This window comes from Homo sapiens, chromosome 6, assembly GCF_000001405.40.
Source record: "Homo sapiens chromosome 6, GRCh38.p14 Primary Assembly".
Lineage (NCBI taxonomy): Eukaryota > Metazoa > Chordata > Mammalia > Primates > Hominidae > Homo > Homo sapiens.
The window spans coordinates 135,687,812-135,715,639 of record NC_000006.12 but is presented as its reverse complement, the minus strand read 5'-3'; the positions used below and the strand labels follow the sequence as shown (position 1 = coordinate 135,715,639).

Below are 27,828 nucleotides of genomic sequence, written 5' to 3'. Positions count from 1 at the left end.
TGTAACTACTGTCAGTTGCCATATTCATTATAGTTCCATTTAGGTCTTCTATTTCTTCTTGAATCAATTCTGTAAGCTATACTTTTCTAGGATTTTTTTTCTCATTTTTAAAATATATTGCCACAAAGTTGTTTTTAGTATTAATTCTGAAAGAGTAAATTTGTTCTGTTTTTGTAGTTATGCTGCATATTTTATTCTTAATAGTTTATTTGTACCTTTCCTTTATTTCTTTTGCTCAAATTTACTATAGCTTTATCTATTTTATCAGCTTTCTCTATAAAACAGCTTTGACTTTGTGTTTCTCTCCTTTGTTACATACTAAATGAGTTTCTCTTCTTACATTTATTAATTCTTTCAACTTTCCCTGAGGTTTTATTTTTCTGTTCTTTAAGAAAAATTCTTAATTTGTATGTTTATCTCATTAGTATTCACTTTTCTTCTTTCCTAATGCAAGTATTTAATACTCTAGCTCTGCCTCACAAATTTCAATATTGTGTCTAAAAAAGCATACGGTTCTGTTTCCTAAGTTCCATTATGATTTTTTTAACTCATAAATTAATTATAAATTTTTAACTTTAATTTCTGAATAGATTCATTTAAGTTATATTCTTGTTATTGATTACTAATTTGAGTTGATAAGGTAATTGAGTCTATATAATTTTTTGTCTATTGCAACCTATTTATGAATATAAATGGTAACACTTTATAAATGTTTAACGTGTAATTGAGAATAATATGTGTTTTGTGATTTTGAGTTTAGCTTCTCTGTAGGTCTATTATCTCAAGCTTGTTAACTATATTGTTCAAGTTACTTATTAATTTTTCTGCTTGAACTGCCATTCATTAAGAAGTATTAATACTTTCAAGTACAACAGTTGACTTATGAATTGCTCTTTGAAATTTGTCAAGATTTGCTTTGGGAATTTTCAAAGTACTGCATGTTATTAAGACATGTGAAAGTTTGAAATGATTGTATATTTCTTTAGATTATACTTTCTTATCATTATGTAGTAATCCTCTTTGATACTACTAATATTTTTACTTTTAAATGTTTGATCTGCTTTTAATCTAGCTATACCAGCCACATGCTTTGTTAGTATTTTCTAAGCATAATTTTTCTATAACTTTGCCATTAGTCTTTCCATGTTCTTACACTTTAGGTATGTCACTTATAAAAAGCAACAGCTAGATTTTGATGTTTTTACTCAATTTGACAATCTATATTTTTTAACTAGTGAGTTGAATATATTTTTATTTTATCATTACTACTGATTTTTTGGAATGATTTATACTACCTTATTTTATTATTTCTATTTCATCCTGCTGGTCGAGTACTTCTCACATTGCATTGACTTTGACTTCACCTGTAGTCACATCTCTCTCTAACTGACTCTGTTTTATGTCTCTCTTTTCCACTTCTGAGACCCTTTTGGATCTTACTGGGCCCAGGAGATAATCCACAATAATCTCCTTATTTTAAAGTCAGCTGATCAGCAACCTTAATTCCATCTGCAATGTAAATTCCCCTTTGTCAGGGAATGCTTATACATTCCTGGTGGGAATTTCAATTAGGTCAACTTCTATGAAAAACAATATGAAGATTTTTTAAAGAACTAAAAGTAGATCTACCATTTGATCCAGCAAATCCACCACTGGGTATCAACCCAAAGGAAAAGAAGCCATTATATAAAAAAGACACCTGAGTGCACATGTTAATTCCAGCACAATTCACAATTGCAAAGATAGAAAATCAACCTAAGTGCCCATCAATAGATGAGTGGATAAAGAAATATGGTGTATGTGCCATAAAATACTCCTCAGCCATAAAAAAGAACGAATTAAGTGAATTAACTCAGAAACAGAAAACTAAATACTGCATGCTCTCACTTCTATAAGTGGGAGTTAAGCTATGAGTATGTAAAGGCATACAGAGTGGTATCATGGACACTGGAGACTCGGAGGGAGAGTGGGATGGGCTCAGGGATGAAAAATGACCTATTGGGTACAATGTGTACTACTCAGGTGATAGGTACACTAAAAGCCCAACTTCACCACTATACAATTCATCCATATAACCAAACACCACTTGCACCCCTAAAGTTATTAACATTTTAAAAAAATTAATTAAGCAAATGAAAAAGGAGGGACTGCTTAGAGAAAAATAAGTAAATAAATTTCCCTTTGTCATATAACAACATTCGCAGATTCTGAGAATTAGGACATGGACATCCTTGGGGGTTCATTATTCTGCCTACCATGCTGTCTTATATTTTTTAACCTTCCAAGATTGTGCATATTATAACATGTTTGTTTAGCTGTGCCTACAAACTTAGAGATTTCTTTGTTCCCTATTCTTGCATCTCAGACTTTTCCTCTGGAATTACTTTTCCTCTTTCAGAGAAATATCTGTTATAAGGTATCATTAGTGATAAACTTTCAGTTTGGATTTACTTGAAAATGTCTCAATTTCTCCTTCGATCTTGAAAGTTGGTTTTCTAGGTATAAAAATCTAGTTTGACAATTTTCCTCTCTAGATTTGGAAAGTATTATTGGACCACTTTTGGCTTCCATTATCGTTATTGAGAAGTCAGCTCTTGGCCTAATTGCCATTCTTTTGCAGATAATCTTTCTCACTGTTCGTAATCTGACTTGTGTCTGTGATAGTCTGCATATATTACCATAATATTTCAATGTGGTGTGTCTTGTGTGCATTTCTTTTAGTTTGTCTTATTGGGATTTGTTCTGCTTCCCGAATTGAAAATCAAAATCTTCACTGCCTTTTCTAAAGGCCTATTTTTTGAACTACTGAGACATTTATTACACCATATCCTTTATTATTTATGTCCTTTAATCTCTTTTTTTGGTTCTTATGTTTTAGTGTCTCTCTCCTATGCATATTGGGAAATATATTTAAATTTATATTATACTTCATTAATTCTCTCTTTAGCTGTATCTTTTCTGTTTATCCCACCCAATGGAAAATTCATTTCGACATTTTTGTTTTAATTTCTAGAAGATCTATTTGATTCTTACACATCTATATATCAGTCTTTTTTATTCTGGTTGAGCATCCCTAATCTAAAAATCTAAAATTCACAATGCTTCAAAATCTAAAACTTGTTGAGTGCCAACATAATGCCACAAGCGGAAAATTCCATTCCTAAGTATTTAAACTTTGTTTCAGGCAGAAAATTATTAAAAACATCACACAAAACTATCTTCAGACTATGTGTATAAGGTATATATAAAACATAAATGGGCAGGGCACAGTGGCTGATGCCTATAATCCCAGTACTTTGGGAGACCGAGGTAGGAGGTTAGCTTGAGCCCAGGAATTTGAGACCAGCTTGGGCAACATAGCAAGATCCTGTTTTTACAAAAAAAAATTTTTTTTAATTATCTAGGCATGGCAGTGCATGCCTGTAGTCTCAGATACTCAGGAGGCCGAAGCAGGATGATTACTTGAGCCCAGAAATTTGAGGCTGCAGTGAGTTATGATCACGCCACGTGGCACTCCAGCCTGGGTGAGACTGAGACTCTGTCTCTAAAAAAAAATCAATAAAAATAAAACAATTTTCTAAAATGAATTTTTTGTTTAGACTTGGCTTCCATACCCAAGATACCTCATTAAGTATATGCAAATATTCAGTATTGAAAACAATCCAAAATCCAAAACACTCTGGTCTTAAGCATTTTAAGTGAGGGATACTCGATCTATAGTACTCTTTTCCTTGCTAATGTTATTAAATCTCTGCATCACATATTTATATATTTGAAATATATTTAAATTTTGGATATAATAAGTCCAGTATCTGAAGTCCTTGTAGTCAAATTGTGCTTGAGCAAACAAGCTCAAGGTTGCTTATTCCTCAGAGTAAGCTTGCTTTTTTATTGCTAACTCATGTTTTTCTGGGCTTTATCTCTAAATCCTGCAAGGTCTTAGCAAGCCTATTTCTCCACTTCAGGTTTCCAAATTGCCCTACAAGGACAGTCCTGCAGTTATCAATTTTTGAAGGAGATTTTCACTCATCCAGACCCCCTGTGAAGAGAAATACATTTTCTTGTCTTCCGTGTTCCTAATCTATATTTTTTATTTGGGGGTTTGTTTTGGTAATTCACCATTTCACTGGCTAAATATTAGGTTGGTGCAAAAGCAATTGTGGTTTTTGCCATTACTTTTGCACCAGTCTAATGTGTAGCTTTTGAAGAATTCTAGCTTTATACAGGGATATACTTCTTCACTTTGCACATGCCAAAGGCTTTGGCTCTTGGTCACATGGGCACCCATTTCAAATCCAAGACTCTAGTTTGCTAAGAGTGACTTATTTTCCCAGGACAGTTTTATGCATGGTGTGGGGTCATCTTTTTGGTTTCAAGATCCCCTTCTCATTCTCTCTATTTAGAAATTTACATTATTTTCACAAATTATTAACTGTGCATTTAAAAAGATGTTTGTCATAATTGTATCCAGCTTTTCTAATGTATTGTGTGGAAAGTTTTTAGACGATCTCATCTATCCTGTTGCTAGAAACAGAGGCCCCCTAATCTGTAATCTCCTATGACTGTTCTTGTACCATTGTTGTAGTATTTATCATATGCTGGCTTGTGCTATAATTACATCTTCATACATCTTTACATTCCTGTGCAGTTGTTAAGTTTCTTTAAAAGGAACAAAATAAAAATCAATGCTCTTCATTTATTTACTAATTTCATCTGTGAGCATGGAGAAGTGAATATTTGCATCTGTCTCTAAGAAGTTAAAATTTCTACATTTTATTATTGTATTCTTGGGCATTTTAGTAGAATTGTTCTGCTCCGTAATTCAAATGATGCCAGAGTACATATCTCTAAAGAAGAAATCCTACCAAAGATGAGGTCAGGATGTGGAATAATGCCACAGAAGGGACAGCCCTTTATTCTTTCAAAATATTATTAAAATTTTATATGATACAATAGTTTGAACAAAAAAGTTTGCTCTGATAGCCTGGAGGCAGGGGTGAAGGGTAGGATAAGCTTTATTACACATGCCCCACAGCCAAGCTGCAATCTAATTGCTATTTTTGTTCCTCTCTCACATAGAAATGTGATCATTATTCCATAAATATTTAAACATAATTATATATACATATTTGTATGAAAGATGTGAGTTAATCACACACACTCTGCTTGTGCACAGAATGGTTTTTTGCTTCAATGACAGAGTCCTCCTTTCTGATAGAACATACAAGACAATTGTCAGCATGTTTTAAGTGAACTAGAAAATGGGCAGGAATTTGCGGAACAACAGGGGTCCCTCAAATTACTGGGATTTGAGCCATTGGTGTCAGTGTGTATAAGCCAAAACATTTTCCCCTCCTTAGCCCCAAAGTGTAAACACCCAGCTGGTAGGCACTTAGCCTGACAACTTCAGGAGAGTGGAGAAAGTGAATGTGAAATACACTCCCTCAGCACGGTTGCCAGGTTGCCCGAAAAACATGTTCATTCCTCTAATTCAAGGCATTGTCCATGTTTACTTGATGCGTAGCGTGTAGCAGAGAGATAAAAATATAAACAAAGCAACTCTTAACACACATGCAGGCTGGTCCTGAGAACCAAAAGCTTGATGCAAACTGGCAAGACTACCTTTATTAGCAAGCGTAATTGGTTCATTTCAATATTCACGTATTTTCTATTACTCTTTCTGCGTTAACATTTTAGGATGTTTATATTTAAAAGATGGATATATTTCACTGCTTCTACGGAGCCTGCCATGATTTTTTATTTCTTGTAGGATTTTTATTCACAGCATTATCTTTCTATAGGAAACTCACAGTAAGAAACCCTTGACTTGTGGTTTGTTGAAGTACAATGCAGATTACATCAAATTTGCAGATAACCTTATATAAGAATGGATCACAGGAATCAAAAATTAAATGAGTTGCTGGAAACCTAGAAGTATTACTTAGGAATGAGGATTGAGGTTCCAATCCTCCTGCCAATTTCAAAGCCCTTTAGATGTGGAAAAGGCTTACTCTATCTACAGAAGAACATGAGAACATTACCAATGGGCTTTCTCCTCCTCAGCCAAGTTGTACCTCCTACAGCCACCTGCACTGTTGGGAATGAACTGAAACCTAGCGTGGGAAGGGGAGTAAGAAGAAGGCAAAGAGAGAAAAGCTTAAGAATGGGACATTTCATTTACTACAAAGCTCCTAAGGGAGAAGACATTTCTTCTCCCTTCCATATGAAGAGAGAAAATATATTTTGTATTTTCCATATTTTTGTCCTTGTTATAATTAAAATGCAAATCTCAAAGCATTTATCAGCTAAAGGATTGTGAGACAACCAGGCTTAGAATTCTGTTACCATCTCACAACTCAGAATTCTTACCAGCTGAAAATTATTGGGACTTTGTGGAAATAAATATAAAACTCTTCTTATTAAATATGCCAACACCAAACCTCATATACATGGGCAGGCCATTGTATGAAGGATCATAACATCCTATGGATGCTACTCTGAGAAGCTCACAAGCTCCAGAGTTAGGCTGAATTGTGCCGGAATCCTGGCTCTGCCTTTTACTAACTGTAAAACCTTAGGCAAACCAGAGACTTGCTCTGCTATTTAACTTCTGATCTGTCAAATGGGAATAATGATGCCTGGAAGCATTAAGGTGTGGATGGAGAAAATGCACGTTATCCTCTGGCACATAGTATACAACAATAAATGATAGATTTTATTGTTATGTTATATACCAAAGATTAACAAGTTACTCAAAGTGCTGAATGTTTTGATATTTGAAACTCATCCCCATCATGCAAGGGCCCAAACACCTAGAGCAGAGGTCCCCAACCCCAGGGCTGTGGACCTGTGCCAGTCCGTGGCCCGTTAGGAACTGGGCAATACAGTAGGAGGTGAGCGGCAGGTGAGCGTTCATTACCGCCTGAGCTCTGCCTCCTGTTATATCAGCAGTGGCATTAGACTCCCATAGGAGTGCAAACTCTATTGTGAACTGTGCATGCGAGGGATCTAGGTTGCATGCTTCTTATGAGAATCTAAATCATGCCTGATAATCTGAGGATTCAGGAATCTGAGAATCAGGAAGTTTCACCTTGAAACCATCCCCCTCTCCCTGCCCCATTGTGGAAAAATTGCCTTCCATCAAACGGGCCCCGGTGCCAAAAAGGTTAAAGACCTCTGATGTAGAGGGTTAAGCAAGCAACCTAAATTCCCAGTCTCCATCTTAGGGATTCTGAGTTAGTGGTCTGGGGTGGTGGCCAAAGCTCCACAGTTGTTCCAGCTGATAAACTAAGTTTGGGAACACCAGGATAATGAATCTACATGAAAAGTGAGTTTCAAAACTTGGTTTTCAGACACACAGAATTCTAGCAAGTGATCTGGGGTTATATGTTAAAGTTAAATCTTGATTAATTCTGTGAGAAAGGTAATTATATTAATCAAAGTGACTTAATTCTTCTCAAATGGCTCCTTTCTAATTAAGCCCTTTTATTAATATAATTATTTTTCTCAGTTGTGATGGTCTGAAGACAAGCATACATGCTTCACTCTCACTTCATGAAAGCTATTCTAACCCTTTGAAATTCCAAGAGAATGGCATATAACCTAAGCCCATCACGAGTACTATATTATTAGTGTCTCGTATGACTTCCAAGCACAGTTACGATTGATGAGAATATCAATGTTAAGACATTATCAGTTGTTGTTAGAACTCCTGGAATGTTACTCCTGGGATTGTGTTAGATCCAGATCTCTTTTTATATTTTCATCTCTCTATTTCTATTTCTCATAACCTTTCTCATCCCTCCTTGGTTAAAATGCCCCTTCTACTTTTATGTCCTGGATTTCCCAATTGCCATTTCCATTTAAAAGATCCCCATCTTTGGTCACAAATCTGGAATTAATAAAGCTCTTTTACTCTGAACATCTTAAAATGTTCTGCAGACATTAACATATCCACATACTCTAAATGGAATAAGTAATGGAAGAATGGATAATCACTCTGTTAGGAACAGATTTGGCTTTCATCCCAGGCCACAGTTGCCAAGATTGGATGTAAGAACCAAGCAGATCATATAAAAATTTGACTATATGTGCATCTACATGAAATGCCGAGTAATTACAATGGAAAAATTAAGTAAGTGTATACAAGAGAAGGAGTTTTATTTTAAATATCTAGATTCATCAAATTCTTAAAATTTAGAAGAGCATTCTTGGGCTCATAATTTTACGTTTCTGATTCCTAATCTTTTTCCAATAAAGAATTGTTTTGGAAAATTTGAGTAAGATCTGTTTAGCAGCTTTCAAATCTGCAGTGAGCCAAAACAAAAAGTGAAAAGGGGATGCAAGAGTGTGATTCAAAAGCATGTTTTTTTTTAAATTACATTTTGAGTGGAGATTATTTCTCCAAAGAAAATACCTTTATTTTTGAAAAGCAGAGAATTTTCTTTTAAAAGGTGAAATTTCAAGAGCGAAATCCCATATCTGAAAGCATGATGTATGATGCAATGATGCAGAATAACAATGCCTCTCTTATTCCAAATTGGCCTTGAGGAAAATGGAAGGTGTTTTTTTTTCAGGAGTGTTAGCATACATACCCGTTTGCTATCAGCAAAGTATTGCTGTTGGTATAGACATGAATATGGATTAATAGTTGTATTAGGCTGTTCTGCATTGTTGTAGAGAAATGCTTGAGACTGGATAAGAAAATAAGTTTAATGGCTCATGGTTCTGCAGGCTGCATCCTTCCTAAGATGATGCCAGCATCTGCTTCTGGGGAGGCCTCAGGAAGTTTTCATTCATGGTGGAAGGGAAAGTGGGAGCAAGCACTTCACATGGTGAAAGCAGGAGCAAGGTGGTGGGGAGAGAAGCCACACACTTTTAAACAACCAGATCTCATGAGAACACACTCACTATGGTGAGGACAGCACCAAGGCATGAGGGATGCACTCTCAAGACCCAAACACCTCCCACCAGGCCCCCTGCCTGTCCACCCACCAAGGAGGATTACATCTCAACATGAGATTTGGAAGGGACATCCAAACCATATCAATAGTACATTATTATATCCAGTAGCAATTTCCAGGAAGTCTTACAGCAAATAAATATTCCAGATGTACACCTGAGCAGTTTTCACTAAGCAAGAAAACATCTTGGATTATTTCTTTTAAAAAATGTTTTAAATTTTAATTTAAAGAACAAAATTGTGTCCTTTGTAGCAGCATGGATGCAGCTGGAAGCTGTTATCCTAAGCAAACTAATGCAGAAACAGAAAACCAAACATTGCATGTTCTCACTTATAAATGGGAGCTAAACCTTGGGGTCACAGAGACATAAGCAAGGGAACCATAGACACCATTGTGGACTCCAAAAGGAGGGAGGGAGAGAGTGGGGCAAGGGCTGAAAAACTTTCTATTGGATCCTATGTTCACTATCTGGGTGACAGGATCTATAGAAGCCCAAACCTCAGCATTATGCAAAATACCCTTGTAACAAACCTGCACGTGTACCCCCTAAATCTAAAATAAAAATGGAATTTAATAAATAAATAAATAATAAAGCAATACACTAACACATACAACTATGCACTTAATATAAAGTCTACTTGACAATTACGTATAAATATCCAAAGATACTTGACTGCCTCTTTTGACTTTAATTCTCCTTCACTATAAAATGCCATAGGATGGGAATTGTATGAGTTGTCCTATGGTTTGCATTCTATCTAAGTCAGTGCTATCACAATTGATCAAGGTAACAAAAGGAAAAAATCAGATTTCATTTTTTTACTTTTAACCCAAGAAAGTACTTTTTAACAGATTGTCATATATTATCATTCAAACAAAATAGGAAAAACATATATTAATAGACATTTGCTCTTTTTTAAAATCACTCCTGATACTACCAGTTAAAGTATATGGGAAGTGGACCTAAGTCACTAGAAATATCACAGAAAGACTAGATACTCTTAGTTTTAAAAGACTACCCTATTTCTTTAATTTTTTTCTTTTGAAAATAATTGTGATATTAAAATAATTACAGAAAAGTACTTAGAATGGCAGAAAAAATCCACATTTTCACAATAATTGAAAATTGATAACAATTTCTTCACATCTGTATTGTTCCTTTCAATAAACACTGTAGGTAAAGTCCTCTTTGCCACCTCCCTTCCCCACCCTTCCTAGAGGCAAGACCATCATGAGTTTGATGTGCACAGTCTGGTTCTCTGGGTTTCAGGGCTCTAAACCCACCCTGAAATTAGAACCTGAAGGCTACTGCTCCACCTGAATTGTGCAATTTGGGGCCCCATGCAAGTGATATGGGCCAGGCTCCAGCCCTTCATGGGTTATTCTTCCTCTACATCGATTGGAACTAACTCAACACCTCACCCCTGCCCACCTCCAGCCTTCCACTGGTGGCTCCACTGTGGTCCTCCACCTTGGCCAACACACCCTTAACTCCACCTCCTGAACAGGCACTGAAACCTCAGTCCCTTTTTTCCTAATTTGGTCCTCTTTGCCATTGGGCATGACACTTTAACCCCAACTCTGATGGACTTTCTCTGTTCTAGCCCCTGGGAATTTCTCTCTCTCTCTCTCTCTCTCTCTGTCTCTCTCCCTCTTCTCTCTCTCTCTCCTTTTTGAGTAGAATGGTTTATTTTTAACATTTGCAAAATTCACTGTCTATGATTTTTTCTGTTTTTGGTGTGTTGCAGGTGGTTTTGATATATCCTCCCACTTTATCCTTGACCCTAAAGCCCACTATTATCTAAAGAATTAGAATTTATTTAAAAACAGATAAACTAAAAATGAAGCAAAACGTCTTTTTATTTTTATTTTTTTATTTTTATATTTTGAGACGGAGTCTCACTCTGTTGCCCAGGCTGGAGTGCAGTGGCGCGATTGCGGCTCACTGCAAACTCTGCCTCCCAGGTTCATGCCATTCTCCTGCCTCAGCCTCTTGAGTAGCTGGGACTACAGGCGTGCGCCCAATTTTTTTTTGTATTTTTAGTAAAGACGGGGTTTCACTGTGTTAGCCAGGATGGTCTCGATCTCCTGACCTCGTGATCCGCCCATCTCGGCCTCCCAAAGTGCTGAGATTACAGGCATGAGCCACCACGCCTGGCCCAAAATGCCTTTTTATAAAAAAATATTGTACAACTATTAAGGATAACACCACTTATTTATCACACAAATACTTACAAAACACCTCCCACCCATCAGGACTTAGCTCTAGGCACTAGGGATATAGAAATGGATAAAACGGAAAACAAAGGAAAAAAACATTGCTCATATTTTATTGGGGAAATATAAACAACAGATAAATAGAAAAATAGATAGATGATAGGTAGATAGATAGATACATAGATACATAGGCAGATAATATAGAGAGAAAAATAAAGTTACAAAGAGAATTGGAGGGTACTGGGGTTGGAGGGAGCTTTGCAATTTCAGATAGGATAGTCAGGAAATTCCTCACTCAGAAGGTGGGGAAGAAGAGCTTGGCAAACCTCTGAGGGAAAATCATTTCAGGCAAAAGCAGCAGCAAGTGCAAAAGCCCTGAGACAGAAGTTTCCATGAATGTTAAAAAAAAAAAAATTAAGTGACCAGTGTGGCTGAAGTAGAGAGATTGGGTAGGAGAATAACAGCAGAGAAAAATAAAGAATTGTTATGGGACAGACCCTGTTAATCATTTGGGATCATTCTAAGAACTCTGGCTTTCACTGAGTGAGATAGAAAACCAGTAGAGAACTTTGGGCAGAAGAGGAACATCTGATTTCCATTTCACTCTGATCACTCTGGCCGCTTTTGAAAGTAGACAGTAAGAGGGAAAATACAGAAACAGAGGGACTGAGCACTGAAACTGAGACCGCTGCTCTTGCGTCATCTGGGCAGGAGATGATGGGGGCTGAACCAGACTCTTAGTGGTGAAAGTGGTTAAAAGATAGGTTTCAACATATTTTGAAGATAGAACCAACAAGATTCCTGATAGGTTGAATGTTGGATGTAAGAAAAAGAAATCAAGAATACAGTTTTTGACCTTAGCAACTGAAAAAACAAGTGGAGTTGCCATGTTAGTGAGTTGGGAAAGACCACCCAGGAGGAAGTTTGGTGAGGGAAATCAGGAGCTCGATCTGGATTTACTAATTTTGAATTGACTATTAGACAACCAAGAGGAGGTAGTCAAATATGAGTTGAGACTTCCAACTCTAGAGTTAATATATACATCAGAATTATGTATAGATGGCATTTAAAATCAGAAGGCTGGATGATATGACAAAGGGTAATGTAGACAGAAAAGAAAAGCACTACAGAGATTGAGCCCTGGAACATGACAGCATTCAGAGATCAGAGATGAGAAGAACTAATCACAGAGGCTGAGTAGGAGTGGCCGGTGATGTAGTGTTCATTGCAACCTCCAACTCCCAAGTTCAGGTTTCTCCCTTGGATGTAGGGCAGAGTTCACTGTCCTGCATGAGTTCTTGTTTGCAAAGGGCCCTGAGAGCTTTGGGGAAGTAGAGAAGAGCTGGGTGTACTGGGGTTTGAAGACTGTGGGCCCAAGGGCCTTCTCAGCCCAACCTCCTGCAGCCTCCTAACCTCAAGCAGTGCAACTGAAGGACAGTTCCATCAACACACCAAGTTCTATGAGTCCCTGGCATTGGGCTGGTAACTTTGGTCACATTTTGCCACTAGAAAGTGAAGCTCAACAACTTTTCCTAGGTCAAAAGGTGGTAAGTCTCAGTCTAGATTAAGCTCCAAATCTATCATTCCAAAGCCTTCTCCATTGAAATATCATTTTTAAAACTCTTGATGCAAAAGGGTAAAGAATAAGCATGTCGAAGATTTGCTCTCAAGTGACAATTAGACATTTTCAATAATGTCTATTGTACTTTGAGAGGTTATGAATTATCATTTGCTTAATTGAGACATCTTTTAGTACTCTACAATGTTCTAGGGAATGAGAGAGTGTTTTCTTGCAGAGAAACTTATTACTCATCCAGGAACCCAGAGCTTTACAGTGCCTGGCATTTAGGAAGTGCTAGTTTCTTGAATAGATGGGAAGACTGGAAAGATCTCAATCAATGAATCTGGTGATATGAAACCAGGGTTTCTGTTCTTGCTCTGCCAATTACTGTTTTTCACTCTCTGTTATTTATTTCTGAGCCTCCATTCCACCTGCTGCGAATTAAGGATGAATTAGACAAAATGGTCCTTTCTAGTTTCAAAGTCTTATGACTTTCAGTATCACTTTGATTCTACATGCTGGTTGGATAATTTAAAGACCGTAGCTAGAACTTCAAGGATACAGATAATGAAGATCTACTTGGTTGGGAGAATGACCAACACAAAAATCTTACTTATAACAAAAATTCTATCCAACATGACTGAGGTTAATTTGCAATCAGGATGTTTACCCAAAGTGAGTATTTGGGAGAACAGAGAAAGAGATCTTTTTTTCCCCCTACCTTAAGTATTATCATTAGTTCAAGAATGAGGTTAAAGTGGGAGTCATGAGCATATAAAACCTCTAAAATGATTAAAATGTGATTCCAAATTAATATATTTTAAGCATTTATAGCTTTTTCCTCCTTGGGCTGTTTTTTTTTGTGTGCGTGATGTCTATAATTTCCTTTGCTCCCAATTATGCAATATTTTTGTTTTATAATAATTATTTTGACTCATTTCTCTCATCCTCCTCCCCAATCCTACCCCAATCCCCAGAGGCCATCTGGCCACACATGCTGTTCTCTTCCAATCAATCTCTACCTATTATTTCTTTTCACTTTTTTTCCACTAAGCAACATCTAAACTTACCTTCTCGATTTACCTGTTTATTATTTTCTCTCATGTCTCCCTTCACTTTAATACAGTCTGCCAAAGCTCCGAGTCTTTTTGTGCATTTATTCTATCCCTGCTCTACCTTTACCACTGAGATAAGCACTTGCCCTTTAGAAGGAGTTACATAAATAATTAATTGAGTAAATGAATGAATGAATTTCTCAAGAGAAGTCTCCTGACTCATCTTTGTATTCTGGCATTGAGCACAGTAACTGATGCATGGTAAGGCACCCAATAAATGCTTGTAACCTAGAAGCATTTATTCCATATTAGGAAATAATCTTCAGGGTAATTTTAGATAAGGATAAACACGTGTTGAACCAAAGAAATAATAAAATGCTATTTTGAAAATGCTATTTTGAAACTTTTTCAAAATCCCTCTCTAGAAAAAAAATTGATTTTGTTTTTTCTTAGGTAGGGGAGAATTAAAAGAGAGAAATGTGAAATTCACATGATCAACTTTGCAATATAAACAACAAAAATAATACCATAATTTTATTTTATTTAAAAAAATTGCATTGATGGCTTTTCTTGAGTGTCATTCTTCTAGGTCTTCAAAAATAATAACAACTTATATTTATTGAGCACAAACTACATGCAAGACACCAGTGGGCACTTTACATATATTATGTAGAATTATCTCATTTAATCCTAAAAACTCTTTAAAATAGATATCATTAACCTCAGTGTATAACTGAGAAAAGTAATGTGGCCAAGGTCACAGAAATTAGGTGAGCTTGGATTTTAACTCAGGTCCCTTTGTGCAACAGGTCATTCACCCTCACGCAAAGCTCAGGACTCAAAGAGTCAGAGTCTCCGAATTCTGTACATTCCACCCAATGTGATTTCCATAGTTTTCCTTAAAAGGTATTCTGTTTCATCTCCCTACATACAAGTAGATGAATGGTTAAACTGTGTGCAAGAAACTAAAGGAAAAATTCCAAAGAAGTAGCACACAACAGTATTTAATGGCAAACACTGTTTCTTCCTCTTTTATCCACTGTTTAAAAATCAGTGCAGGCTGGCATGGTGGCTCATGCCTGTAAACCTAGCACTTTGAGAGGCTGAGGCATGTGGATCACTTGAGGTCAGGAATTCGAGACCAACCTGTCCAACAGGGCCAAACCCCATCTCTACTAAAAATACAAAAATTAGTTGGGCATGTGCCCATAGTCCCATCTACTCAGGAGGCTGAGGCATGAGAATTGCTTGAACCTGGGAGGCAGAGGTTGCAGTGAGCCGAAATCATACCACTACACTCCAGCCTGGGCAACAGGGTGAGACTCTGGCTCAAAAAAAATAAATAAATAATTTTAAAAAGTGAGAATCAGTGCATTCAAGGACTGGACCCTCTCCCCTAGCTTTGGAAAGTCTTTCTGACCAATCCCACCTCTTTGCATAATTCCAGCTATTACCTATGTGCCATCAGTGACCCCCCCAAACCCTGATTCCAATTTTATAAGCCCTAAAGACATGCCCCAAATGAAACTTGGCATCCTCACTCATAAACTGCCACACCCCTATTTTTCACACTTTGGCTGATAGCATTGCTATACAATCAGTCACTGAAGCTAAAAACTTTAGTAGTTCTTGACTATTTCCTGTCCTTATAATATCCAATCAGTCACCAAACCTAACCCATTCCACTTCCTAAATGTCCCATTTATTCACTTAAAAATATAACAGATATTTACGGAGCACGCACTGCATGTCCAAAATGTTGCCCTGGTTGTTCTATCTGCCCTTTGCTGTATCCCCACCGTCCCTGCCCAAATCAAGGCCTTTCCCACCACTTCCTCCAATTGGTAAAATACCATCCTAGCTTGTGTGCAAGTTTCCAGTTTCCTGACCCACCCCATGCATATTTTCCACTATCAAAAGGATCATGTTCCTAAAATACAAGTCTAATATTATAACTATTGGCTTTAAAGCATCCTGTCTCCCTTGGAGCCCATAAGATTACATCTTAGAACAACACTCAAAGTCCATTACATTTTGGTTCCACCTTTCTTTCCTGGCTGTCTGCCTCCACCCGCCTATGTTCAAGCTTCTTTAAAAGGTCACTAATCTTCAAACACACCACCCACCCACCTGCTTATTATTTTTTTTAATGTGGTCATCTCTGGTAGCAATTTCTTCTCATCTTCTTTTTGCCTCAGAATTTAAGGCAACTTCAAATATTAGCTTCACTGTAAAGGCTTCTCGGATGCTCCCAGGAAGACTGGGTCACTCTTTTCATTATGCTTTCAGAATGAATTGGGTATCACTATATCATTTATTACTGAGGGACTGAATATACAAACTGACATGAACTAATCCATGTATAAAAATAGAACTTTGACCATCAACCTCCAGAATCTTGTCCAGAAAGCCAATCTGTTAACTTCAATAAATAGTCCAGGAAGCCAGCCTGCTATAAGTCAGGCTGCTATCTGTAGAAACAATATAGGAAGCTAAGCAAAAACTTCTGTAACAATCGGCTCAAAATGGCCAGGACTTGATTCATAACTGACAGCTTTCCCAATATCTGTCCCCACTCCAAACTTAGGACAAACCAGAGAAAGCCAAATATGCACCCCTAAGCAATCACAGAGGATGTTCTGCTTCTGGTTAGCCTACCTCCAACTTCCCCAAGACAACAGCCTCCAGTCAGGGTATGATTGAAGCCTTCCCTTTATTTCTCACTATGAAGCTTCCCACTCCTCTGCTTGCCTTTGATTCTCTCCCAAAACACAAGTGACAGTGGCAGACTCCCCTTGCTATAGCAAACACTGAATAAATAATCCTTGCTTTTCTTCTTTAGTTGGTTTTGGTTTCTTTCCACTGTCTTTAACCAGGACCTGCCACATAAAATTGGTTAATGAATGATGTGTTTTTGTTATTGTTATAGTGGCTTTTGTTGGATGGCTACTTACTGCTACCACAGGATGCTTTTCCCAACAATCCAACTTTGTCATTATAAATTTGTTACTAATATTCCCTTATTATCTGGGTAAAATCTATAGGATAGTTAATGATGTCCCCTCTTTAATTCTTGACTGATAATTTTTTGTCTTCCCTTTTTTTCCTGTATCAGTTTTGCTAGATATTTACCAATATTACTGATGTTGTCAAAAACCCAGCTTGGGGTTTCATAAATTTTCTCAGTTTGTCTTGGGTTTTCTATTTTTGTTATCATTTTTATTCTCTTCCTTCTGCTTACTTTGGTTTAACTTTTCTTCTCTTTTCCAGCCTCTTGTGGTGGGAATTTAGACTCTAATAAATTTAGATCATTGATTGTTGATACTACTTCTTTTCTAATATAAGTATTTAGTTAGATGGTTTTGAGACTTGCTTTTAAGTTGTGCTTGGGCAGGGCTAGAGAAACCTTTCCTCTAGGAATGGGTTAGCCCACTACTGCAGAGTAGTCCTTCTGGATGGAGTCTTTACTGCATTCTCCAAGTAAAGAGGCTCAATGAGGGCTCTCCATGCTATCTGGTGGTAATGCAAATGATTCCGCAGTCTGTGTGTATTGTGGAAATACGCTCCTCTCATAACTCCACAGTTGTTCTTTGCCCAGCCTTGTAGCATTTCACGCTGTGCATTGTCTTGATATTTTTCAGACTCATGGGACCCACTGTGTATATTTCTCAAGCCCGTTTTCTGTGTAGCTCCCTACTCTGTAGATCTCTGCCTCACCATTTACAGACACCAGACTTCCTAAACTTCAAGTTCTGCCTCCTCAATTATATAAGACAACTTTTCCTTGCTTGGAATCTCCCTCTCTGCTCTGCAGTCTAAAATGTGCCTCCAGGCGAAAATCCTAGGCAATTGCAGTGCAGGGCTCACCTCACTTACTTCTCTTCCCCCGAGATTCACAGTCCTTCTTGTGCTGCCTATTGTCCAATGTCTGAGGAGAAGTCTTCTTCATGTAATGTTAGAGTTGATCAAGACATGAGGGTAAATCCAGGCCCTTTAACTCCATGGCTGCAAGCCCTGTCCTCACTCTTGAATCCTTGTTCTTCATCTCCCATGCTTCCAGAAGGATCATTCGAAAATGTAAATTTTAGTGTGTCACTTCCCTGCTGAAAGTTTCCAATAATCCCACAGTGTGACAATGTTCATAGCCTTCAGGATAAATTTTAAACAGTAGCACGACATGCATGATATTTATACTTTGCACTCTTTCTTTCTCACCCTCTCTTTTAACAGGGACCCTCCTCCTAAGTTCCACCATTACCATAAACTTCAACTACGTTTCAGATTCTCATACTTCTTTTTGCATTGTACTTATTTGCTTCTCCAGTAATTTAGAATACTCTATACCTACTCTTAAACTAAAAATTCGGACTTATTTCAAGTATCAGTTCCACCAGGAAGGTATATCTGACTCCTTAATGCTACATTCAAAGTCCCTCCTATGTGTTTCCACAGAAGCCTGTGATATTGAACCAAAATACCTTTCACCCTGTCCCATGATTGTCTATTTTCTCTTAGACTTCCTCACAGGATTGCAACTTTCTTGATGGAAATGTTATTATCTCACTCATTTTCCTAGACCTGGTACCCACAGGTCTAGAAAATGCCGTGATGATCTAAATTTTGTATCCCCCAACCCAACAACAAAAAAAATTGTATGTTGAAACCTAATTCCCAAGGCAATAGTTTTAAGAGGTGGGGCCTTTGGGAGGTGATTCGGTCATGGGGCTAGTACCTTTATGAAAGAGGACAAAGAAGTTTGTTTGTCCTTTACTATGTTAGGGTGCAGCAAGAAGATACCATCTATGAAGTAGAGAATGAACCCTCTCCCGACACCAAATCTGCTGCTGCCTTGATCTTAGACTTACTGGGCTCCAGAACTGTGAGCAATAAATTTCCGTTGTTTGTAAATTACCTAGTCTAAGGTATCTTGTTAGAGCAGCCTGAACAAACTTTGACACACGCCTCACAAATATCAAGTACTCAATAAATATCTGTCAAATAAATGAAAACATGAATGATTTTATCAATTAAAATAGGCATCTGGTTTTCAGGAGGCAGCCTAGTCTGATATTACAGAAGAAAAAACTGCACTAGAGTGGCAGTCAGCAAACATGTTCTCTAAAGGTTCAGACAGTAAGTATTACAGGCATTGCAGGCTACAGATGGTCTCTGTCCCATTTTTTTAACAACTCTTTGAAAATGTAAAATAGTTTTTAATTTACCAACTTGCTGTTCTAGACTTACACAGATCTGGGTATGAATGTTGACTTTTAATCATATTAGCCATGCAAAAATGGTCACTTACGAAAACTGCCATGTGGGAATGATAATATTTATCCTCCCACTGCTGTTGTAAGGAATGATTAAAATTATGTATACTAAGGGCAAAACATAGTGCTTGACATATAGTGATAATAACATCTAATGTTTTTTGAACACTTATGATGTGTCAAACACTGTCCCAAGCTTTTTATATTATTATTTTTCACTGCAAAGCTATTTTTTATTTTATTTTAATTTTATTATTGTTATTTTTCTCTTTTTTATTTGTATATAATCATGGGGTATAAATGAAATTTTGCTACACTGATATATTGCATTGTCCAAGCCTTTTATATTATTAAATCATAGTCACCAATACAACCATGTGATACAGGCACAGTTATTATCCCCATTTTAAAAATGAAAAGCAAAAGGCAGAAATTTTAAAACTTGTACAATGACAAGTAATAAATTGTAAAAGAGGCATACAAACCTAATTAATCTTATCTTCTAATCTTTTTGTAATCAATCATTTATAAAGTAAAAATTATTTTGGGAAACACTTTAACCTTTCTTTCTTATAATTATACATGACAATACTTTCAGTTCCTATCAAATTCCTTCAAAGGTCCCTCCTAGTTCTCTAACGACAGGGAGAAGTAGCATTGTTTCGTAGAATGACCACTGATTATGTATGATTTTGCATACCTAGGTTCTAGCCAGCCATGCTGTAACTTTGAAAAAATTACTTTACTTGTATAAACTTCAATTTTCAGAAATCAGTATGTGTGTGATACATATAGCTTTTATTGATAAACATGAGTGGAATATATCTTAATAGAAAATAACATGGGTGTACCATTAGAAGCATTCTATTTAGAAGCATTAAACAGAAAGCTACTTAATCTACACTTACGGCTTTAATGCTAATCATGATCATTTTCATCCATTTCAATGAGAGTTTTTGTATTTAACAAATTAGAATATTTTGGTGAATTCTGGGGTAAACTCAGGACATCCTCAATTCTGAATTCAGTTTTGCATTACTCACAGTGGATCTCAGAATAAAGCTTATCAGATTCATAAGCAAGTGTGCATTTTCACAGACATAGGGTTCACCAAAGTTTGCCCAGATTTGGAAATATAATCAGAAATTTCCAGTTGGTTTCAGATAATATATCTTAAAAACTTCAGCAACTTTGTGTTATTAAATCAATCAATACATCTTGAAATAAGTTCCATGTTTAGGCCGATGATTTGGGCACTTTATTAGGTTTGTACCACAAAAATATAAACAAAAACTTATTTATCCTCATAAAAGAATCTGTGAAATTCTAAAATCGGCTTCATTTGTACCAAAGGCCACAAAAATTTTTTGAAGTCTATAATTTCCTTGAAGCTCAGGGAGATTCACTAATAAATAATATGTGTAATACTCAATTAGCTTTTACATGTAATATGTAATGAATAATATATTTGTATAATATTATATATATTAATACATACTTCTAATTTGAGACTGAATGCAGGAATTTCTAGAACAAACAATTAACATTTTGTGGTGGTAATTGTCTTCTAGCTGCAAGTTAATTGTGTCTAATTATCTTATCACACCACTTGGAAAATATAGTTTGAGCCACTGAATTTCCTATAAGTTGGGTCGCTCAATCTTTAAATTTTAAAAGTCCTTCCTGCTTAGAAGCAGTCTGATAAATCTAATCAGCATGCATACATGACCTCATTGGGACTAAACTCCATGCTTTCATCATTAAAATCATTTGCATGTCAGAAATTCCCAGCATTGATCCCTGTCTCAATCCCATTGTAAAAACGGGTTGACTAGTAAAATTCACTGAAGAAACTCCACTGACAGATAAGCAAATGAGAGCAGAACATAAATTTTTTATTTAAAGCCCACTTTCCCATAATAAAATTGATACATGTTCATTGTAGAAATCTTGAGATGTAAAGTATAAACATAATAAAAGTAGCCTAAATAAACTACATGCCTATTATGATATAAATATTTTGATGTATATTTACCTAGTGTCATATATTTCCACCCCAGCCTCCTTTTTGAAAATGTTGAAATAACCTTCTTTAAAAAAAAAAAAATCTTTCCATTGCAGATGCCGTACCTGACTCCAGCAAGTGACCTCAGCATTTCCATGTTTAGGCCAAGCTTTGCAGTTAGCTTCCAGAAATGTGTTTAGGTCTTCAGAGTTTACGCGTACTTGCTAATTCGTTTTTTTTTTTTTAATGAATTTTTCTGCATTTCCCACCTGTATGGAAAGATGCTCCTGCAGTCTATCTCTGCAGTCCTTTCCCTTGATAACATTCTGTGAACTTGTTCTTTTTTATGGGATGTGCTCCAATTCCTCACATTTTTCACATATTTAAAATACCATATACTAACCAGGGTCGCAGTCTATTTTCACAATTGAGATATTTATATCATTCTTACGTTGGCATTTTTTAAATGTTAAATTCTTAGTTGCAGTTCAACTTGTATTTTTATTTCTTGTCATCACCCTGCCCACTTTCTAGTAGAGGTGTTAATGAGCAGGGAAACAGCGGGAAGACAGATGGAAGGAGACGCAAAGAACATAGATAGCATGCACAATGCATCACAGAGCAAAATATAATTTGATTTTTATTCCAAACTATCATAATTTGTATTTGCAATATGGGAACTTTATTCTCTTTTAGACTGGCTGGCTTTCTAATAGATTTGGCTCACTATAAGTACTATTTACATATTGATTAGTCAAACTTTCATCATTGTTATTATAATTATAGCACTCATAAATGTCATTGAGAAATAGAATAAGCATATGCCTCTTTCCACATGGGCAAAACCATTAAATAATCCTGAAACAAATATATATATATATTTAGTACTATACACAAAATACAGCAGTATAAGTAGTTCACCAAATAATGGTCATCCACTTTCTCGGTGGTGATAAACTTCCACTCAGAGGTGGTAAACATCTTCCCTGTCCCATAATCAGCCACTGTCCTCTCCTTGCCCCACAGTCAGACCCGCTTCATTCTCACCTTTCACCCATGCTTTGGCCCAGTTCCCAGGTCCCTACCTTAAACACTGGAGATGAATTATCTCCAAACCATCAGTGTGGGGCTCAGCATAATTTCACTCTTCTAGGTAGTCTTAGACTTTAGTCCTGATATCTAGATTTTTTCTTATTCTCGAGCCTCAATTCCCACCTTGCTTCCCATGCCAGACACCTACATTGCTATCTTCTTTCTGTGTATGGCTGAATCCTTGTCTTGGGGATCTGCCTTCTGCCTTCTCTTCTCCAGGACCTCCCTTCCCTTAAAACCCACCTTGATGGCTAAGACGCTATTTCATGCTTGCCAGCTTCCCTAAAGCTAATTGTTTGCTGTATTAGTCTGCTCTCACACTGCTAATAAAGACATACCCAAGACTGGGTGATTTATAAAGAAAAGAGGTTTAATTGACTCACGGTTGCACATGGCTGGGGAGGCCTCACAATCATGGCGGAAGGGCAAGGGACGTATTACATGGCAGCAGGCAAGAGACAGTGTGTGCAGGGGAACTTCCCCTTATAAAACCATCAGATCTTGTGAGACTTATTCACTATCATGAGAATAGCACAGGAAAGACCCATTCCCATTATTCAATTACCTCCCACCAGGTCCCTCCCACAACACGTGAGAATTGTGGGAGCTACAATTCAAGATGAGATTTGGGTGGGGATACAGCAAAACCATATTATTTGCCAAGAAAAAATATGATACGCCTCTGAAATTCTACACCACAGACCTAATTTCTCTAGTTATCCTATTCAGGACAACTGCCAAATATTAGAAAACAGCTTTCCCTGGTACTAATATAAAGAGGTATTCTCCTGACCAGAGTGTCCTTTCTGGCCTTGCAACCAGTTCCCAGTGGGCTATTGGGGTTCTCACATCTGCTGCTAGGATGCACGGGAAGGACTGGGGAAGACATATTTGGGATTCCTGATATGCCACTCAGACACATATTAACAGGGACACACTGTTATTAAATATCATTACATGTCATTGACATAGCACCATTCCTCCTATTCTGAATCATAAATACATAAGTATGGAATTTGTAATAAGGCTCAAGAACCTAACCAATATTTAAGGTATTGTTTTAATGAAGTATCATTTTGAATTCCAAATAACCAATTCAAAACTAACTTTAAGACACTTTCCAATTCTGCTTCATAGGGAGCCAAAATTATTTTAGAAGTGATAGCCGTGTGTATGTATTCTTGGGGAAAAAAATGTAATTAAACATTACAAATGAAAGCAGTAGCCCCTATGTAGGCAGATATGAAATGGCTAATTTGATTTTGCCTTTTTAAATTGAAGCAAGTTATCTTATAGACCGTGTTAGTCTCAATTGTCCCATTAGGGCACCAAACCTAATCATCAGCAAAGGTTTCTAAGTAATGAGAATGAGGAAGAAAACTCTGGTTTAGCTTTCAGTCATCAAGATGGCATCTCTCCACTAAAAGTCATGGATGGTACTCAGTAATACTTATTATCTCTATTTCACAAACGAAGAAAACTGAGAATAAACTAGAAATATCTGAACCAGAAACAAAACAAACATGGTCAGTGCAGTATTTTATACTTCGGTAGAGTGTAAAGCATTAAAAGAACCAATTCAGTCAAATTTGAAATGTAAAAATCAAATTATGATGGTACTAAAAGAAACCTTAAGAGGATTCTTAGTAACCCTAGGAGTGGGAAGACTTTCTAAGAATGATGCAAACCCAGAAACTATAAGAGAAAAAAACTGATAAATGTGACCACAGAAAAATATTTTTTAAAATTACTACATGGAAAAAGAAAAAGAAAACCAATAAAAAGTCAAAAAACAAATGGAAAAAACACACTTGAAAAAATACGTGCCACTCACACTCTAGATGAAGAGCTAATTTCTTTTAAAAAGAAATAGATTTGGAGGTACAAGTGCAGTTTTCTTACATAGATGTATTGCATAGAGGTGATGTCTAGGGTTTTAGCATACCCATCACCCAAATAGCGTACATTGTACCCAGTAGGCAGTATTTTATCCCTACCTTTCAGAGTCTCCAATGTTTATTATTCCACTCTGTCTGTCCATGTATACCGATTCTTTAGAAGAGCTAATTTCTTTAATCCTAAGGAACTCCCACTCATCAGTAAGGAAAATAAAAACCCACCAACTCAATATAAAGACGGGTAAAGATTAAGAACAAATAATTCATAGTAAAGCAAATGCAGATGATTTTAAGCATATAAAAGGAGGCCCAACCTCATTCATAAAGATAATAAAAATTAAAACTGCAACTGCAGACCATTTGTGCCTACCTAATTGGCAAATATCAAAAAGTGGGTAACCTATTGTACTGCCAAGGGTTGAAGAAACAGGCATTCATATTGTAGTGAGAGCAAAATGGTAAGCCCTTTTGGAGAGAAATTTGTCAATATCTGTCAATGTTACAAATGAAGAAGAATTCTACTCCTGTGTGAGAAATGATGAATGTGCAGAGATAGTCATTGCAGCTTTGTCCATAGTAACAAGAGACTGGAAACAACCTAATGTCGTCTGTCAATAGATGACTGCTTAAATAAATATAATGCAGTACTAGACAGACATTTAAAAAAAGATAAAGCAGGTCTATATGTGCTATTGTAGAAGTCCTTGAAGATATACTGTCCATTGAAAAAAAGCCAAGAATAAAACAATGCATACAGTATTTTATTTGTGGGAAAGAAAAAATATGTGTACATATATGTTTGTAAGTACATAGAATACTTTCTAAGGCTACATGAGAAATCAGTAAATCGAATTGCATTCAAAGAATCAGAAAAAAAGAAAATGAGGGAATCTTATTTTTGAACCAGAAACTTTTATACCTTTTAAATTTTGTGCCATGTGTATATATTAACTATTCTAAAAATAGGATAAAATCTGTTCAGCTATTATTGAGCAGAGGTATCCAAATTACACAGGACACACAATTTGTCGCTATTATGCTATGGCTCAGAATAAATGGATAAATGAAGTAACATCTTTGATAAGTTTTTTCCAACAAGCCCTTTTCCTACTTGATCGTGATAATTTCTGAATGCTGGGATTTTATTACAGATGAGGCTGCTGTTTGCAGAATGAGATATTATCCAATATTCTGTCTCAGCCCATGTCTACACCTTGTGAAGTTCACCTATATGTATTGTGGTAGTTTTTAAAATGTCCGTAAATACTTTGATACCATTTTTTCAAGAGGTTCAGCTTAAATCCTCTTACTTTGAATGTGGGCTGGACTTAATGACTTGCTTCTAATGAATAAAATACAGTAGAAATGACAGTAAGTCACTTCCAAGACTAGGTCATAAAAACATTGCAGCTTCTGTCTTAGTCTCTCTCTTGGGTCTTTCACTCTGAGGGAAGCCAGTTCCATGGCATGAGGAAAGTTTCATGTGGAGAGGAACTGAAGCCTCCCACCAATAGCCCTATAAGTGAGCCATCTTGGAAGTGTAGCCTCCAGCCCCAGCTGAGCCTTCCAATGATAGTAGTCCCAGATGACATCTTGGCTGCAACTCCATAGGTCACCCTGAGCCAGAACCAAACTAGCTAAGCCATTTTCAGATTCCTGACTCTCAGAAATTGTGTGAGATAATACATATTTCCTGTTTTAAGCTGTGAAGTTTTAGTTTAGTGTATAGTTTAGTTTTGTGTATAATTAATTATACAGTAATGGATAGCTAATATACACATCTCCCGTCTTTGCTTTACCACCCACCCACTCCCCAGAGAACAGATGCCTCTTGAAGCTCACCACACAGGCACTGCTTATTCTTCTATTTGGTCCATCTCCAGGGACAATGAGCTCAGGTAGCCTCTACAGCAATAAGTTGGGGGGAAGAAGAGGTCAACAAAGGTGGTAGAATTGCTACAGGCAGAACAGGGAGAAAATGAGAGAAAAAGCATGTCAGTACACCCCTTACACATTACTCAAATTACTAAATAACTCAAAATACTAAATAACCTGCTGACTTGAACATATCTAGTTGGTTTCTTTCAGGATGCTTTTTACCATTTACTTCCCCAATTTCATTTCATCTTCCTCTCAACCCAGGTGGTACACATTCTGGCTTTTAGATAAGAGCTGGAAATGTGGGAGGATTCAGTGCTTATATAACATTGCAGCATCAATGAAGAAACAAGATGCTAGCATAACTAGCTATTTTCTAAAACTGCATCCTTTTTATAAATGTGCAAATTCTGTTTCAGTAAATTCCATCATACACATCCTGGGGCCCACAGTCAACAGAGCACGTAACATTCAACACTTTACCTTATATGGCCTTCATTTTCTCTCTCTCTCTCTCTCTCTCTCTCTCTCTCTCTCTCCTGAACTCACTCACTCTCCTGAACTCACTCACCACCCCCACAGTCCCATCCCATGATTTGGTATATTACTTCTGAAACTTCTTTTTCTCTCACTGGAATTACATTGTTAAAGATTAAGAAAGTCTTTGGCAAACAAAGAGAAAAAAATAAACAAATAAATCAATGGAGAAGCATAGAGAGCCCAGAAATAGACCCACCTACATACCATCAACTGAGTTCACCTCTCACTTTTGTCTGTGCCTCCACTAACTGACAGTGGTTGGCACATAAAAGGTGTTCAACAGGCATTTAGTGAAGGAATAAATGAATGGATGGATGGATGGGTAGTGATACGGTTTGACTGTGTGTCCCCACCCAAATCTCCTCTTGAATTGTACTCCCATAATTCCCACGTGTTGTGGGAGGGACCTGGTGGGAGATAACTGAATCATGGGGGCAGTTTCCCCCATAGTGTTCTTGTGGTCATGAATAAGTCTCATAAGATCAGATGGGCTTATCAGGGGTTTTTGCTTTTGCTTCTTCCTCATTTTTCGCTTGTTGCTGCCATGTAAGAAGTGCCTTTTGGGGCTGGGCATACTTGTACATGCCTGTAATCCCAGCACTTTGGGAGGCCGAGGTGAGTGGATCACCTGAGGTGAGGAGTTCGAGACCAGTCTGGCCAACATGGCGAAACCCTGTCTCTACTAAAAATACAAAAATTAACCAGGCATGGAGGCAGGAACCTGTAATCCCAGCTACTTGGGAGACTGAGGCAAGGGAATTGCTTGAACCCTGGAGGCAGAGGTTGCAGTGAGCCAAGATCGTGCCACTGCACTCCAGCCTGGGTGACAGAGTGAAACTCCATAAAAAAAAAAAAAAGGTGCCTTTTGCCTCCCATCATGATTCTGAGGCCTCCCCAGCCATGTGGAACTGTAAGTCCAATTAAACCTTTTTTTGTTCCCAGTTTCGGATATGTCTTTATCAGCACCGTGAAAACAAACTAATACAGATGAACAGATGAATGGTGAGGAATAAGAATTTGTCAGGGTTTCACAAAGGGCTAGACACCATGCTAGATTCCATATTAATATTTTTACACACACATTCTCAGCAAGAAGATAAGGAAATGAGTCTGAAAGAGGTACAGTAACGTGCTGAAGTTCACACATCAGTAAGTGGTAGATTTGGAATGACTTAAACCTGGGTCTGCAAAGTCCATGATTTTCCCATGTCAGCATGCTTTTAAAAAATTATACTGTACATAAAAATAATATATTTAACAGGACATTTTAAAACAGAAATATCCTGAGAAGAACAATTTAGGGAGCTACCACACCTTAAAGGAAATGGTTTGTACTTAAATACCTTTGC

The 27,828-nt window shown here is 36.9% G+C and overlaps 1 long non-coding RNA gene across 4 annotated transcripts in view; it reads right to left on the bottom strand.

The window, feature by feature from the left end:
• AHI1-DT (AHI1 divergent transcript) overlaps positions 1-27,828 on the bottom strand; it is a 218,255-nt gene that overhangs the window by 416 nt on the left and 190,011 nt on the right. For 3 of the 4 annotated variants that reach the window (NR_152844.1, NR_152845.1, NR_026805.1), the window contains one exon: positions 24,802-26,017. This is a non-coding gene — a long non-coding RNA (AHI1 divergent transcript). Of the gene's footprint in view, positions 1-24,801; positions 26,018-27,828 lie in introns of those variants that run through there. The other variant, NR_152842.1, reaches the window with a different exon arrangement.